Source organism: Homo sapiens, chromosome 21, assembly GCF_000001405.40.
Source record: "Homo sapiens chromosome 21, GRCh38.p14 Primary Assembly".
In the NCBI taxonomy this organism is placed as follows: domain Eukaryota; kingdom Metazoa; phylum Chordata; class Mammalia; order Primates; family Hominidae; genus Homo; species Homo sapiens.
In genome coordinates this window covers 42,914,463-42,929,302 of record NC_000021.9, presented here as the reverse complement: position 1 = coordinate 42,929,302, position 14,840 = coordinate 42,914,463, and the positions used below count along the sequence as shown (strand labels likewise).

At 50.4% G+C, this 14,840-nt stretch overlaps 1 protein-coding gene across 1 annotated transcript, besides 6 other annotated features; it reads left to right on the top strand.

Moving 5' to 3' along the window:
* Window positions 103-654: an enhancer, noted in NCBI's record as "H3K27ac-H3K4me1 hESC enhancer chr21:44348759-44349310 (GRCh37/hg19 assembly coordinates)". NCBI's record gives its function as "activates a minimal SCP1, AML or CMV promoter by ChIP-STARR-seq in naive H9 embryonic stem cells {active_cell/tissue: H9 hESC(naive)}" and the evidence as "EXISTENCE:reporter gene assay evidence [ECO:0000049][PMID:30033119]".
* Window positions 655-1,208: an enhancer, noted in NCBI's record as "H3K27ac-H3K4me1 hESC enhancer chr21:44348205-44348758 (GRCh37/hg19 assembly coordinates)". NCBI's record gives its function as "activates a minimal SCP1, AML or CMV promoter by ChIP-STARR-seq in naive H9 embryonic stem cells {active_cell/tissue: H9 hESC(naive)}" and the evidence as "EXISTENCE:reporter gene assay evidence [ECO:0000049][PMID:30033119]".
* Window positions 2,495-3,016: an enhancer, noted in NCBI's record as "H3K27ac-H3K4me1 hESC enhancer chr21:44346397-44346918 (GRCh37/hg19 assembly coordinates)". NCBI's record gives its function as "activates a minimal SCP1, AML or CMV promoter by ChIP-STARR-seq in primed H9 embryonic stem cells {active_cell/tissue: H9 hESC(primed)}" and the evidence as "EXISTENCE:reporter gene assay evidence [ECO:0000049][PMID:30033119]".
* Window positions 3,017-3,538: an enhancer, noted in NCBI's record as "NANOG-H3K27ac-H3K4me1 hESC enhancer chr21:44345875-44346396 (GRCh37/hg19 assembly coordinates)". NCBI's record gives its function as "activates a minimal SCP1, AML or CMV promoter by ChIP-STARR-seq in primed H9 embryonic stem cells {active_cell/tissue: H9 hESC(primed)}" and the evidence as "EXISTENCE:reporter gene assay evidence [ECO:0000049][PMID:30033119]".
* ERVH48-1 (endogenous retrovirus group 48 member 1, envelope) lies at window positions 3,673-12,500 on the top strand. Its single transcript, NM_001308491.2, has 2 exons — window positions 3,673-3,957; window positions 10,012-12,500. The coding sequence occupies exon 2, from the start codon at window positions 10,297-10,299 to the stop codon at window positions 10,777-10,779; it is 483 nt and encodes a 160-aa protein (NP_001295420.1). The 5' UTR covers window positions 3,673-3,957; window positions 10,012-10,296; the 3' UTR covers window positions 10,780-12,500.
* Window positions 13,525-14,031: an enhancer, noted in NCBI's record as "H3K4me1 hESC enhancer chr21:44335382-44335888 (GRCh37/hg19 assembly coordinates)". NCBI's record gives its function as "activates a minimal SCP1, AML or CMV promoter by ChIP-STARR-seq in primed H9 embryonic stem cells {active_cell/tissue: H9 hESC(primed)}" and the evidence as "EXISTENCE:reporter gene assay evidence [ECO:0000049][PMID:30033119]".
* Window positions 14,032-14,539: an enhancer, noted in NCBI's record as "H3K4me1 hESC enhancer chr21:44334874-44335381 (GRCh37/hg19 assembly coordinates)". NCBI's record gives its function as "activates a minimal SCP1, AML or CMV promoter by ChIP-STARR-seq in primed H9 embryonic stem cells {active_cell/tissue: H9 hESC(primed)}" and the evidence as "EXISTENCE:reporter gene assay evidence [ECO:0000049][PMID:30033119]".

The following is a 14,840-nucleotide window of genomic DNA, read 5'->3' as shown; positions in this document are numbered from 1 at the left end:
GGTTGCAACTGAGCCAAGTTCATACCACTGTACTCCAGCCTAAGCAACAGAGTGAGACCCTGTCTGAAAAAAAGAAAGAAAGAAAGAAAGAAAAAAAGAAAGAAAGAAAAAAAGAAACAAACAAACAAACAAACTACACTGCTGGGTGGCACGGTGGCTCACACCTATAATCCCAGCACTTTGGGAGGCAGAGATGGGCAGATCACAACGTCAGGAGTTCAAGACCAGCCTGGCCAACATAGTGAAACTCTGTTACTACTAAAAATACAAAAATTAGCTGGGCATGGTGGCACACGCCTGTAGTCCCGGCTACTCGGGAGGCTGAGGCAGGAGAATCGCTTGAACCTGCGAGGCGGAGGTTGTGGTGAACCGAGATAGCACCACTGTGCTCCAGCCTGGGTGACAGAGTGAGACTTTTTCTCAAAAAGAAAAAAAGAAAGAAAGAAAGAAAGAAATTACAGCTACATTTATTCAGGCCTGTCCCATAATATTATTCTTGTGGCCTTTCATTAGTCTTTGAAAGGCAGTTTTTGGTCCCTGAGCGAGGAGGGTTAGTGTCAGGAAAGGACTATTAGCATCCTTGCTTTCAAGTTGAATTACAAACGAAATTCCTCCATGGTTAGCTTGGTTTACGCCCAGGAATGAGCAAGAGCCGCTAGAGATCAGAAGCAAGGTGGAGTCTACTCTCTGTCAGATTTCTCCTACTGTCACCATTTTTCTTTTTCTTTTCTTTTTTTTTTTTTTTTGAGACGGAGTCTCGCTCTGTCGCCCATGCTGGAGTGCAGTGGCGCAATCTCGGCTCACTGCAAGCTCCGCCTGCCGGGTTCATACATTCTCCTGCCTCAGCCTCCCAAGTAGCTGGGACTACAGGCACCCGCCACCACGCCCGGCTAATTTTTTTTATTTTTAGTAGAGACGGGGTTTCACCATGTTAGCCAGGATGGTCTGGATCTCCTGACCTCGTGATCCACCCACCTTGGCCTCCCAAAGTGCTGGGATTACAGGCGTGAGCCACCGCGCCCAGCCAACTGTCACCATTTTTCAAAGGCAGTTTCAAGACACCTGTGAAATGAAAATAAATCTCAGGACACCCAAATCACTAAGCCAAGGGAAGTCAAGCTGGGAACCATGTCAGGAAAACCTGCCTCCCATTCTACTCCTAAATAAAACAGGTACAAAGAAAAGAGCATATATATGTCCCTCACAATTTGCTCACAGGAAAATTCCTTGTGGACAAAGGACAGAAAACTCAGTCATCCCTCTGAGGCTCCCCTGAGACAAATGCACATCTGATTGCTTCCTCTGCCCTATTGTTTATGTAAAAATGCAGATTCGCTGAGCCAGACTCAATTGTGTATTCAGTGGAAGGCTGACCAAGGACTCAAAAGAATGCAACTTTTGTCTCTCTCTCCTTTTTTTTTTTTTTGAGATGGAGTCTCACCCTGTCACCCAGGCTGGAGTGCAGTGGCGCGATCTCCGCTCACCGCAACCTCCACCTCCCGGGTTCAAGCCATTCTCCTGCCTCGGCCTCCCGAGTAGCTGGGACTGCAGGCACCCACCACCACGCCCGGCTAATTTTTTGTTTTTAGTAGAGATGGGGTTTCACCATGTTGGCCAGGCTGGTCTCAAACTCCGGACCTCAGGTGATCGGCCCGCCTCGGCCTCCCAAAGTGCTGGGGTTACAGGCGTGAGCCACCACGGCCGGCCTCACACATACTGATTGATGTCTCATGTCTCCCTGAAGTGTATGAAAGCAAGCTGTGCCCGACCACCTTGGGCACACGCCCTCGGGTCCTCCTGAGGCTGTCACAGGCGCGTCTGTAAACTCGGCAAAATAAACTTTCCACATTGGCTGAGAGGTGTCTTGGAAGCTTTGGGCTCACACACTGGCTGCCTGTGTCAGTCCCCCAGCGAGGCACAGCCGTCCCCAGCTTGTCTATAACCCCAGATTTGTCCCGCCCACAGTATTCCCTAGGTGAAAAGATAGCCCAGAGCGTTCTGTGCTCTGCTAGGCTTGCACAGAGAGACCTGAGCTCGGGACTTCACTCGTGCCCTCCACCCATGCCCAGCGCAATTGTTTAGCCATGTAGTCCCTGAATACCTGCTTCACTCATTACAATCACGTTTCTAAATTTGTGGAATTTGTGATACAAAGAACAAGCCAATAAATCGCTTATGTATTTTAATGTAAATTGTTGGCGAGGAATTTAGCAACTGCCTCTTTTTTCCTTTAAAAATCCACTTGTTGGCCGGGCGCGGTGACTCACGCCTGTAATCCCAGCACTTCGGCAGGAGAGGCGGGCGGATCACGAGGTCAGGAAATTGAGACCCTCCTGGCTAACACAGTGAAACCCCGTCTCTACTAAAAATACAAAAAAATTAGCCGGGCGTGGTGGCGGGTGCCTGTAGTCCCAGCTACTCGGGAGGCTGAGGCAGGAGAATGGCGGGAACCCGGGAGGCGGAGCTTGCAGTGAGCCGAGATCGCGCCACTGCACTCCAGCCTGGGCGACAGAGCGAGACTCCGTCTCAAAAAAAAAAAAAAAAAAAAAAACCAAGAAACAAAAAACAAAAAACCCACTTGTGGGCAGGTGCGGATGGCTCATGCCTATAATTTCAGCTCTTTGGGAGGCCAAGGCAGGCCAGATCATTTGAGGTCATTTGAGGTCATTTGAGGTCAGGAGTTTGAGACCAGCCTGGCCAACATGGCTAAACCCCATCTCTACCAAAAAAAAAAAAAAAAAAAAAAAAAAAAAAATTAGCTGGGCGTGATGGCGTGCACATGTAATCCCAGGTACTCAGGAGGCTGAGGCAGGACAATCGCTTGAACCCGGGAGATGGAGGTTGCACTGAGCCAAGATGGCACCACTGCAGTCCAGCCTGGGCAATAGAGTTAGACTCTGTCTCAGAATTAAAAAAAAAAATCCCACTTGAGGCCAGGCACAATGGCTCACGCCTGTAATCCCAGCGCTTTGGGAGGCCGAGGCAGATGGGTTACTTGAGGCCAGGAGTTTGATGCCATTTTGGGTGCGGATGTGGAAAATCTGAGACAGGTTTTTTTTTTTGAGATGGAGGCTCGCTCTGTCGTCCAGGCTGGAGTGCGGTGGCGCGATCTCCGCTCACTGCAAGCTCTGCCTCCCGGGTTCAGGCCATTCTCCTGGCTCAGCCTCCCAAGTAGCTGGGACTACAGGCGCCTGCAACCATGCCCGGCTAATTTTTTGTATTTTTAGTAGAGACGGGGTTTCACCGTGTTAGCCAGGACGGTCTCGATCTCCTGACCTCGTGATCTGCCCGCCTGGGCCTCCCAAAGTGCTGGGATTACAGGTGTGAGCCACCGTGCCCGGCTGAGACAGGTCTCTTGTTAATTTAGAAAGTTTATTTTGCCAAGGTTGGGCAGGGACCTGTGACACCGCCTCAGGAAGTCCTGATTGAAAGATTCTCCCAGGGGCCTGAAAGCTTGAGGGAATGAGTAACTCCTCCTCCTCAGGCCCAGTCCCAACGCTCAAACTTGCACCAGCAGCAAGATAGCAGAGGCAGGAAAAGAGCTGGCTGGAAGACACATACTCTCTGAAGATCAAGGGGGAGGCCGTCCGCGTACTACATAGCAGTCACGTCAGGCTGGGACAATTCCTGTTTACAGAGAACTATAAAAGCCCTGCCCCCTCCTCACTTGGGGCTGATGCCATTCTAGGCCTCAGTCTGTCTGCATCCAGGTGCTTATTAAAACAGTGTGTTGCTCCACACCGCCTCGTGTTGTCTGTTGGCGCGCTCTCCGGGTTCCAACCAATGCAAGAGCCTTGGGGCTGGCCCTGAAACCTGCGAGGGGCTTCCGTCCACGTCCCCAGTGGACCTACCACCCCTCCATCTGGGAAAGCAGGCCACAGCAGCCGGACAAAGGAAGCTCCTCAGCCTCTAGTCGCCTCTCTGTGCATGCACATCGGTCACTGATCTCGCCTACTGGTAAGTTTCCTGGGAGCCCGGTTAACAGGGAAAAATCCGCACGGCCTCTCTTGGTTTCTCCAGCCCCAAAATCCAACATGGGTCCAAGAAGGCTATGGCATGGCCGGGCGTGGTGGTTCACGCCCGTAATCCCAGCACTTTGGGAGGCCAAGGCCGTTGGATTCACGAGATCAGGAGTTCGAGACCAGCCTGGTCAACATGGTGAAACTCCGTCTCTACTAAAAATACAAAAATTAGCTGGGCACAGTGGCAGGCCCCTGTAATCCCAGCTACTCGGGAGGCTGAGGCAGGAGGATCGCTTGAACCCGGGAGGTGGAGGTTGCAGTGAGCAGAGATCGCGCCACTGCACTCTAGCCTGGGTAACAGAGCAAGACTCTGTCTCAAAAAAAAAAAAAAATGCTAAGGTGTGTGCCAGGCACTCGCTGATCATCTGGTCTTAGGGGGACTCTAAGCCAGTTGATCCCATTCTGGGAATGAAAAAGGCAGCGGTGACAAACGCTCCTTTTATCGTCTCCCTCCGGCTGTCCAGGACGGTCTGCTTTTCCCGTTCTCCTGAGCCTACCCTCCATTATGGAAAATTCCCAGTCTTCCATTCCAAAGGACAGCCCTCTAGGCTGCCTCATGAAAAACCTGCAAACCTTAGACCTCAGGCGAGATATCCCTCTAAGCACCTTGTTCTTTTTTTGCAATTCAGTCTGGCCACAGTACAAATTGGACAGTGGGTCCAAATGGGCCACAAATGGAACATACGACTTTACAATTTTAACTGACTTAAGCAATTATTGCTGACGGCTGGAAAAATGGGGAGAAATTCCTTATATCCAGGCCTTGTTCACACTCAGATTACAACCTGGCCTCTGCTCTTGCTCACCTGTTCAAATCCTCCCCCTCCATTCTCGCCGCCCTGATCGCCGTTCTCCTCCCGACCCTAACTCTTTTTCCTTGTTGGATCCAGCCAACTGCTGTCCACCCCTTCCAGCCCCTGCCTCTTCCTCTCAACCGTCTTCTTTAACCCCCTAAGCCTCCTCTTTGTCTTCCCAGCCAGCACTGCCTCCAAGAGTATCCACTTCTTTTCCTACACCATCCTCTCCTCAGGACAATTCTTGCACTGCCTGTACCCATTCTCCTCCCCCACCGCTCTCTCCTGAGGCCTGTAAACCCACCCCGCCACCTTCCGCTCCTATCTATCCTCTGCTGCCTATTAACTCAACCCTCCTTCCCCCTTCAAACCCTCAGCAGGAACCACTTCCGGCTTTTCTTTCTTTCCCGCCTATACTCATTCAGGCATTGCTTTTGGCCCATGCCCCACCCTTACTTCAGCGTCTGTGCTAGAATGCCCCCTTCGGGAAGTAGCAGGAACTGAAGATCTTATTAGAGTTCATGTTCCCTTCTCCCTCACTGATCGCTCTTGAATTCACAAAAGACTCGGTTTATTTCCAGAATACCCTGCCTCTTATATTAGAGAGTTTCAGTACCTCACCCAGTCTTATGAACTAACTTGGCATGACCTCTACGTTATCCTCTCTTCCACGCTCACCCCAGAAGACTGGGACCGTATCTGGACCCTAGCTCAGGCACATGCTGATACAATTCATCACCAAGCTGCCGCCCAGCCTGCTGGCACAGAGGCAGTCCCCAGCCAGGACCCCCACTGGGATTATCAAGATGGGGCCTTTGGATGCTGCCATCGAGACCACATGATTGTGTGTCTCCTTGCAGGACTCAAAAAGTGTGCCCATAAAGCGGTAAACTATGAAAAACTTTTAGAAATCACCCAAGGTCCTGACGAAAACCCAGCCCTTTTTCCTCTCTTGTTTAATGGAAGCCATGAGAAAATATACCAACCTAGACCCAGCCAGCCCAGAAGGAACCACTATCTTAAGCCTTCGGTTCATCTCCCAACCCATCCCTGATATCCAGCTCAAGCTTCAGAAGCTTGACGATGGCCCTCAAACCCCACAACGAGACCTTCTCAATTTAGCCCTCAAAGCCTTTAATAATTGTGATGAAGAAAGTGAAAGGCAAAAACAGGCAGAGTTTCGAATGCTTGCCTCCGCCATCGGGAGGCCCTGCAGGCCCACGGGGCCGCAGCTCCACACGGGAGCCTCCTAGCAAGCCACCTGCACCTGGCGTCTGTTTCAAGTGTGGCAATGAAGGCCACCGGTCCAGGCAATGCCCAAACCCAGGTAAGCCCCCCAGGCCGTGCCCCCTCTGCAGAGGACCCCACTGGAAGTCGGACTGTGAGCGGCCCCTGCAAGGACCGCCTCCATCCCTTCCTGAGCCGGCCAAAACCTACTCGATCTCATCGGCCTTGCCGCTGAAGACTGACAGTGCCCTGGAACGGACACCCCGGCAACTACCATTGCCTCATCTGAGCCAAGGGTAACCCTGATAATGGCAGGTAGGCCAGTATGTTTTTAAAATTAATATCAAGTCAACCTACTCTGCTTTACCTAATTTTTCAGGACTCACCGAGTCCTCCCAGGTCTCTGTTGTGGGAATTGATGGACAACTGATGGTCTCCAAATCCCGAGCCCCCCTCCACCCTTCTGCTCCCTTCATGCCTTTTCCTTCACTCACTTTTTTTTTTTTTTTTTTTTTTTTTTGAGACGGAGTCTGGCTCTGTCTCCCAGGCTGGAGTGCAGTGGCGCAATCTCCGCTCACTGCAAGCTCCGCCTCCCGGGTTCACGCCATTCTCCTGCCTCAGCCTCCCGAGTAGCTGGGACTACAGGCGCCCGCCACTATGCCGAGCTAAATTTTTGTATTTTTAGTAGAGACGGGGTTTCACCGTGTTATCCAGGATGGTCTCGATCTCCTGACCTCATGATCCACCCACCTCGGCCTCCCAAAGTGCTGGGATTACAGGCTTGAGCCACCGCGCCCGGCCTTCCTTCACTCACTCTTAGTCCTGCCCTCATGCCCAACTCCACTCCTAGGCAGAGCCATGCTTTCAAAACTCCACACCACTCTCCACTCCCACGTTCCCCTAGTACCCAACGCATCCACCCAGACCCCTCCAGGGCTTCTAACTTTCTTCTACTCCTGCAACCTCCCACCCTAAAACATGCAACCTTTCCTTATCCCCCATCCATGGTTAACCCCGCTGTTTTGAGATACTTCCACACCCTCAGTTGCAAAACACCACACCCCCTTCTGCATTACCCTTAAAATCCCCACCCAGTTCCTATCACAGAAGCAGTATCCAATCCCCTAAGCAGCTCTTGTAGGCCTATAGCTTATCATTTCTCGCCTCCTCGCCAGTCACCTCCTCCGCCCAACAAACTCCCTTTTAAACACACCAATTCTACCTGTTAAAAAGCCAGATGGAACTTACCACTTAGTCCAGGACTTCAGGCTCATTAACCAAACTGTACTCCCAGTATGTCCAGTAGTCCCTAACCCATACACTTTACTTTCCAAAATTCCCTCCAATACCACCCATTTTTCTGTCCTAGACCTAAAGGATGCTTTTTTCCACAGTTCATTTGCACCCTGATTCTCAAGACCTCTTTGTTGTTATGTGGGAAGACCCCAACACCCACCTTTCACATCAGCTCACTGGTGCCTACTACCTCAAGGTTTTAGAGACAGCACCCGCCTTTCACATCAGCTCACTGGTGCCTACTACCTCAAGGTTTTAGAGACAGCACCCACCTTTTTGGACAGGCCCTTGATCATGACCTCTGTACCTTATCCCTAAAACCGTCCACTCTCCTTGATGATCTGCTCCTGGGTAGCCCCTCTCAAAAAGACTGCAATGCCCATACTATCTCTCTTTTAAACTTCTGGCAGAGTGGGGGTATCAGGTATCCCCTAAAAAAGCGCAAACATGCACCCCCTCAGTCATCTATCTAGGCCTAGCTCTTACCCCATGAACCCAAGGGCTCATAACAGACCACATATCCCTCTTCCAGTCCCTCCCGCCTCCGCAAACTAAGCAAGAAATTCTCTCTTTTCTAGGACTAGCGGGATATTTCAGGCTCTGGGTTCCCTCCTTCGCTCTACTAGCCAAACTGTTATACCAAGCTGCTAAAGGCCCTCTCCATGAGCCTTTAAACCCTGCACAGCCTATTACCCAACCTTTCTGCCTACTCCAGAAGTCTGTCACCCCAGTCCCCATCCTCACCCTCCCAGACCTCACCAAACCTTTCTCCCTCTATCCTGACGAACGGCATGGAGTCGCACTACGTGTTCTAACCCAGTCTAAGGGACCCGCCCTCCAGGTTGTTGCCTACCTCTCTAAACAGCTCGAAACCACAGTTCTCGGATGGGCTGCTTGCTTCCAAGCACTGGTGGCAGCTGCTGTCCTCACCCTTGAAAGCCTAAAACTATCTCTTGATGCCAACCTAACAGTTTAGTCAGCCCATAGCATCAAAGACATGCTAGCTCACCGCAGCGTACTAAGTCTCATCTCTGCCCCACGGCTCCTCCAACTGTATGCTTTATTCATAGAAACCCCCCAAATCACCGTGCTAACCAGCTCCTGTCTAAACCCGGCCACACTCTTACCTGAAGCCACTACCTCCCAAGACCCTGCACACTTCTGTGTGGACACTGTTCAAACTTTTCTTACCTTTTCCACACCTAACAGACCAACCCCTTCCAGATGCCTCCTTTACTTGGTTTGTAGATGGCAGCTCCTTCCTACATCAAGGATGCCAACATGCTGGCTATGCTATAGTGTCACCCACCCACACTATTGAAGCTAATCTGGTCCCCCTAGGAACCACCTCCCAAAAGGCTGAACTCATCGTCCTCACTTGAGCTCTCACTCGAGCAGCTGGACATGTATTCAGATTCTCATTATGTGTTCCACGTAGTGCACTCACACTTGTCCATCTGGAAAGAAGGGGGTTTCCTAACTGCAAACAACACCCCTGTCATGAATGCTCTCATCAGCAAGCTCCTTCAGGTTGCCAGGCTCCCGCAGAAACTTGCCATCATTCACTGCAGGGGCCACCAAACCCCAGACAATCCTATATTGGCCAGAAATGCTTTAGCAGATAGAGTAGCCAAACAAATGGCCCTACAACCCGTGCAAGGCCAGTTTCTTTCCCTGTCCTCGTTCTCTCCTCTTTACTCCCCAGAAGAAAAGGAGGACTGCCAAGCCCAAAACCTTCAAAAACAAGGACCACGGTATGTCAAGGAAGTGCGCTTCGCTGTCCTCACTCTCAAACAATCCCTGTCCTCCAAAGCCTCCACAACTCTTTCCATGTCGGGTACAAACCTGTCCTGCAACGTCTCTGCCCTATCCTCATTTGTCCTCGTCGGGTACAAACCTGTCCTGCAACGTCTCTGCCCTATCCTCATTTGTCCTCATCTTTCCAGCCGTGTTCGAGAGGTCACCCAGTCCTGCTCTATCTGCCACTCAATGTCACCCCAGGGTTCCCTCTGGCCACTGCCTTTTCCTACCCACCAAGCCCAGGGCAAGGTACCCGGGCAGGATTGGTAGGTAGACTTATTCACATGCTGCCCCATAAATGGCTCCACTATCTTCTAGTCTTTGTCTGTACTTTCTCCAGGTGGGTAGAAGCATTCCCAACAACTTCAGAAGGTGCAAATATCATCACACAAACTCTCAACATGCATATAATTCCCTGTTTCAGACTCCCAACATCCATCCGGTCCGATAACGGGCCTGCCTTTATCAGCCAAATCACCCAAGGCGCCTCTACATCCTTGGGAATAAAATGGGTTCTCCACACACCCTACCGGCCTCAATCTTCAGGCTAAGTTGAAAAGGTCAACTCTGTCCTTAAAGCCCAACTCACCAAGCTCACTCTAGAAATCTGCCAGTCGTGTACGAGAAGTCTCCCTTTCGCCCTCATGAGACTCTGGCAACACCAAAGGCAGCCTTTTTTTATAGTCCCTTTGAGATCATGTATGGCCGAACTTTTGTCTTAGAGCCTCCACCCTTAACAGACTCTGAGCCACTCAGGAATTACCTCCCCTCCTTAATCCAGACACGGTCTTTCACTCGTGAAGCAGTGAGTGAGGCCATGCCTCTCCCTGCCGACACCTCCTTATCCTCTCAACATCATAACTGTCTTGCAGGCACAGACGTGTTTATCGGCCAAACTGACCCTCACAAAAAGCTACCACCGAAGTGGACAGGCCCCTACACTGTGATACTCAGCACACCAACTGCAGTGAGAGTCCGAGGACTCCCCAACTGGATCCATCGCACCAGGGTCAAGCTCACCCCCAAGGCAGCTTCTTCCTCCAAAACATTAACAGCTAAGTGTTTGTCTGGGCCAATTTCTCCTACCAAGTTTAAATTAACCAACATTTTTTTCTTAAAACCAAAACACAAGGAAGACTAACCACGTGCTTCCAGGAATGGCCTGTATCTACCCAACCACTTTCTATACCTCTCTTCCAACCAAAAGTCTTAATATGGGAATATCCCTCACCACGATCCTAATACTGTCAGTAGCTGTCCTGCTGTCCACAGCAGCCCCTCCGAGCTGCCGTGAGTGTTATCAGTCTTTGCACTACAGAGGGGAGATGCAACAATACTTTACTTACCATACTCATATAGAAAGATCCTGTTATGGAAACTTAATCGAGGAATGTGTTGAATCAGGAAAGAGTTATTATAAAGTAAAGAATCTAGGAGTATGTGGCAGTCGTAATGGGGCTATTTGCCCCAGAGGGAAGCAGTGGCTTTGCTTCACCAAAATTGGACAATGGGGAGTAAACACTCAGGTGCTTGAGGACATAAAGAGAGAACAGATTATAGCCAAAGCCAAAGCCTCAAAACCAACAACTCCCCCTGAAAATCGCCCGCGGCATTTCCATTCCTTTATACAAAAACTATAAGCAGATGCATCCCTTCCTAAGCCAGGAAAAAATCTGTTTGTAGATCTAGGAGAACCATTGTGCTTACCATGAATGTGTCCAATTGTTGGGTATGCGGGGGAGCTTTATGAGTGAACAGTGGCTGTGGGACGGGATAGACATTCCCCCTTACTTACAGGCATCCCAAAACCCCAGACTCACTTTCACTCCTCAGGAATGCCCGCAGTCCTGGACACTTACCAACCCAGTATGAGGGACGGTGTGCATATCCCGCAAGTGGACTGATAAAACCCATCGCGCCGTAGGTGAAAACCCGTCACCAAACCCTAACAGTCAATGCCTCCATAGCTGAGTGGTGGCCAAGGTTACCCCCTGGAGCCTGGTCTCCTTCTAACTTAAGCTACCTCAATTGTGTCTTGTCAAAAAAGGCCTGGTACTGTACGAACACCACTAACCCTTATGCCGCATACCTCCGCCTAAGTGTACTATGCGACAATCCTAGGAACACCAGCTGACAATGGACTGCCACTGACGGATTCCTGTGGATATGGGGAACCCAGGCTTACTCACAGCTACCTTATCACTGGCAAGGTACTTGCTTCCTAGGCACAATTCAACCTGGATTCTTTTTACTTCCGAAGCAGGCGGGCAACACCCTCAGAGTCCCTGTGTATGATAACCAGAGAAAAATGATCCTTGGAGGTAGGAGGGAGCCAAAGATTGTGAGAGGACGAGTGGCCTCTGCAACGGATCATTGAATACTATGGTCCTGCCACTTGGGCAGAGGATGGTTCATGGGGTTATCGCACTCCCATATATATGCCAAATAGAGCGATTAGACTACAAGCTGTTCTAGAGATAATCACTAACCAAACTGCCTCAGCCCTAGAAATGCTCGCGCAACAACAAAACCAAATGCGCGCGGCAATTTATCAAAACAGGCTGGCCCTAGACTACTTATTAGCAGAAGAGGGTGCGGGCTGTGGTAAGTTTAACATCTCCAATTGCTGTCTTAACATAGGCAATAATGGAGAAGAGGTTCTGGAAATCGCTTCAAACATCAGAAAAGTAGCCCGTGTACCAGTCCAAACCTGGGAGGGATGGGACCCAGCAAACCTTCTAGGAGGGTGGTTCTCTAATTTAGGAGGATTTAAAATGCTGGTGGGGACAGTCATTTTCATCACTGGGGTCCTCCTGTTTCTCCCCTGTGGTATCCCATTAAAACTCTTGTTGAAACTACAGTTAACCTCCTGACAATCCAGATGATGCTCCTGCTACAGCGGCACGATGGATACCAACCCGTCTCTCAAGAATACCCCAAAAATTAAGTTTTTCTTTTTCCAAGGTGCCCACGCCACCCCTATGTCACGCCTGAAGTAGTTATTGAGAAAGTCGTCCCTTTCCCCTTTTCTATAACCAAATAGACAGGAATGGAAGATTCTCCTCGGGGCCTGAAAGCTTGCGGGATGAATAACTCCTCCTCCTCAGGCCCAGTCCCAAGGTACAAACTTGCACCAGCAGCAAGATAGCAGAGGCAGGAAGAGAGCTGGCTGGAAGACACGTACCCCCTGAAGATCAAGAGGGAGGTCGCCCTGGTACTACATAGCAGTCACGTTAGGCTGGGACAATTCCTGTTTACAGAGGACTATAAAACCCCTGCCCCATCCTCACTTGGGGCTGATGCCATTTTAGGCCTCAGCCTGTCTGCATGCAGGCGCTCATTAAAACAGCATGTTGCTCCACACCGCCTCATGTTGTCTGTTGGCGCGCTCTCGGGGTTCCAACCAATGCAAGAGCCTTGCACTGATGACATGTCCCCAGGGTGGTTGGGCCACAGCTTGGTTTTATACATTTTAGGGAGATATGAGACACCAATCAATATATGTAAGAAGCACCTTGGTTCTTCTGGAAAGGTGGGACAACTTGAAGCAAAGGCAGGAACACTCCAAGCGGGGAGGGAGCTTGCTGGGCACAGAAAGGTGAGACACTGGAGGCTGCATTCTTTTGAGTTTCTGATCAGCCTTTCCAAAGGAGGCAATGAGATATGCATCTATCTCAGTGAGCAGAGGAGTGACTTTGAATAGAATGGGAGGCAGGTTTCCCTTAAGCAGTGTCCAGCTTGACTTTTCCTTAGTGATTTTGGGGCCCAAAATATTTTTCTTTCACATGGGCAACATGGGAGGATCACTTAAGCTCAGGAGCCAGAGGCTGCAGTGAGCAGAGGTCACACCACTGAGACGCTGTCTCAAGAAAACAAAACTAGGCTGGGCACGGTGGCTCATGCCTGTAATCCCAGTACTTTGGGAGGCTGAGGCAGATGGATCACAAGGTCAGGAGTTTGAGACCAGCCTGACCAACATAGTGAAACCCTGTCTCTACTAAGAATACAAAACACCCAGGGAGGCGGAGGTTGCAGTGAGCCGAGATCGAGCCACTGCGCTCCAACCTGTGCCACAGAGCGAGACTCTGTCTCAAAAAAAACAAACAAACTAAACCAAACCCACTTTTAGGCCTGGAGTAGTGGATCACGCTTGTAATCCCAGCACTTTGGGAGTCTGAGGCAGGCAGATTGCTTGAGTCCAGGAGTTCGAGAGCAGCCTGGGTAACATGGTGAAACCCCATCTCTACAAAAAATTTTTTAAAAAGCTGGGCATAGTGGTGCACGCCTGAAGTCCTAGCTACTCTGGAGGCTGAGGTGGGAGAATCGCCTGAACCCAGGAGGCGGAGCTTGCAATGAGACGAGATCGAGCCACTGCACTCCATCCTGGGTGACAGACTGAGACCCCTTCTCAAAAAAAGAAAAACAACAAAATATCACTGAGCTCCAGCCGGGACAGAGTGAGACCCCTTCTCAAAAAAACAAAAACAAAACAACAAAATGCCACTTGTAACTGCAGCTAATCACAGCATGGATATTCGGGGCCATTTGAGTCAGTGCTCCTGGCTTGCAGTCCATAAACTTGGCCCAGAGAATCTCCACTTGCACGAGTTTTGCTCCTGCTTCTGTTTTCTGTTTTTGAGACAGAGTCTCGCTCTGTTGCCCAGGCTGGAATGCAGTGATGTGATCTCGGCTCACTGCAAGCTCCACCTCCCAGGTTCATGCCATTCTCCTGCCTCAGCCTCCTGAGTAGCCGGGACTACAGGTATCTGCCACCATGCCCAGCTAATGTTTTCTATTTTTAGTAGAGACAGGGTTTCACCGTGTTAGCCAGGATGGCCTCGATCTCCTGACCTTGTGATCTGCCCGCCTCGGCCTACCGAAGTGCTGGGATTCCAGGCGTGAGCCACTGCGCCCGGCCTCCTAAAGTGCTGGAATGACAGGCGTGAGCCCCCGCGCCTGGCCACCCCTGCTTCTTCCTTTAGGTCAGCACCTGCTAGGTTTAAGACATTGTGGGCGGGGACAACAGAAGGGATATTTTCAACCTTTTTTGGTAAGAAGAGTTGTTTCTTTTTTCTTTTTTTCCTCTGCCCTATCTTATAATGCTAAAAGAGTTGCTTCTTTATTTTTATTTATTTATTTATTTTGAGACAGGGTCTCACTATGTTGCCCAGGCGGGTCTCGAACATCTGAGCTCGTGACCCTCCCATGTCAGCCTCCCAAAGTGCTGCGATTCCAGGCATGAGCCAATGTGCCTGGCCAAGAGTTGCTTTTTATTTTATTTTATTTATTTATTTAGAGATGGAGTCTTACTCTGTTGCCCAGGCTGGAGTACAGTGGCATGATCTTGGCTCACCGCAACCTCCGCCTCCCAGGTTCAAGCAATTCTCCTGCCGCAGTCTCCCAGGTAACTGAGATTATAGGCCAGCGCTATGATGCCTGGCTAATTTTTGGGTTTTTAGTAGAGATGGGGTTTCACCATGTTGGCCAGGCTGGTCTCGAACTTCTAACCGCAGGTGATCTGCCCACTTCGGCCTCCCACAGTGCTGGGATTACTGGTGTAAGCCACCACGTCCGGCCTCCAAGTTTCTATTTTACATTTCTCATCTCCATCCTGCCAAGTGTCTATTCCGCACAGTACTGACTCATTTGCTCTGAAGGATGAGCTGAGGAGTTCTCCTGGGCTACCTCCCAAGTTCCTATT

Coding starts and splice junctions, on each gene's coding strand:
- ERVH48-1 (NM_001308491.2), top strand. CDS start 10,297: ATGGCCTGTATCTACCCAACCACTTTCTATACCTCTCTTCCAACCAAA.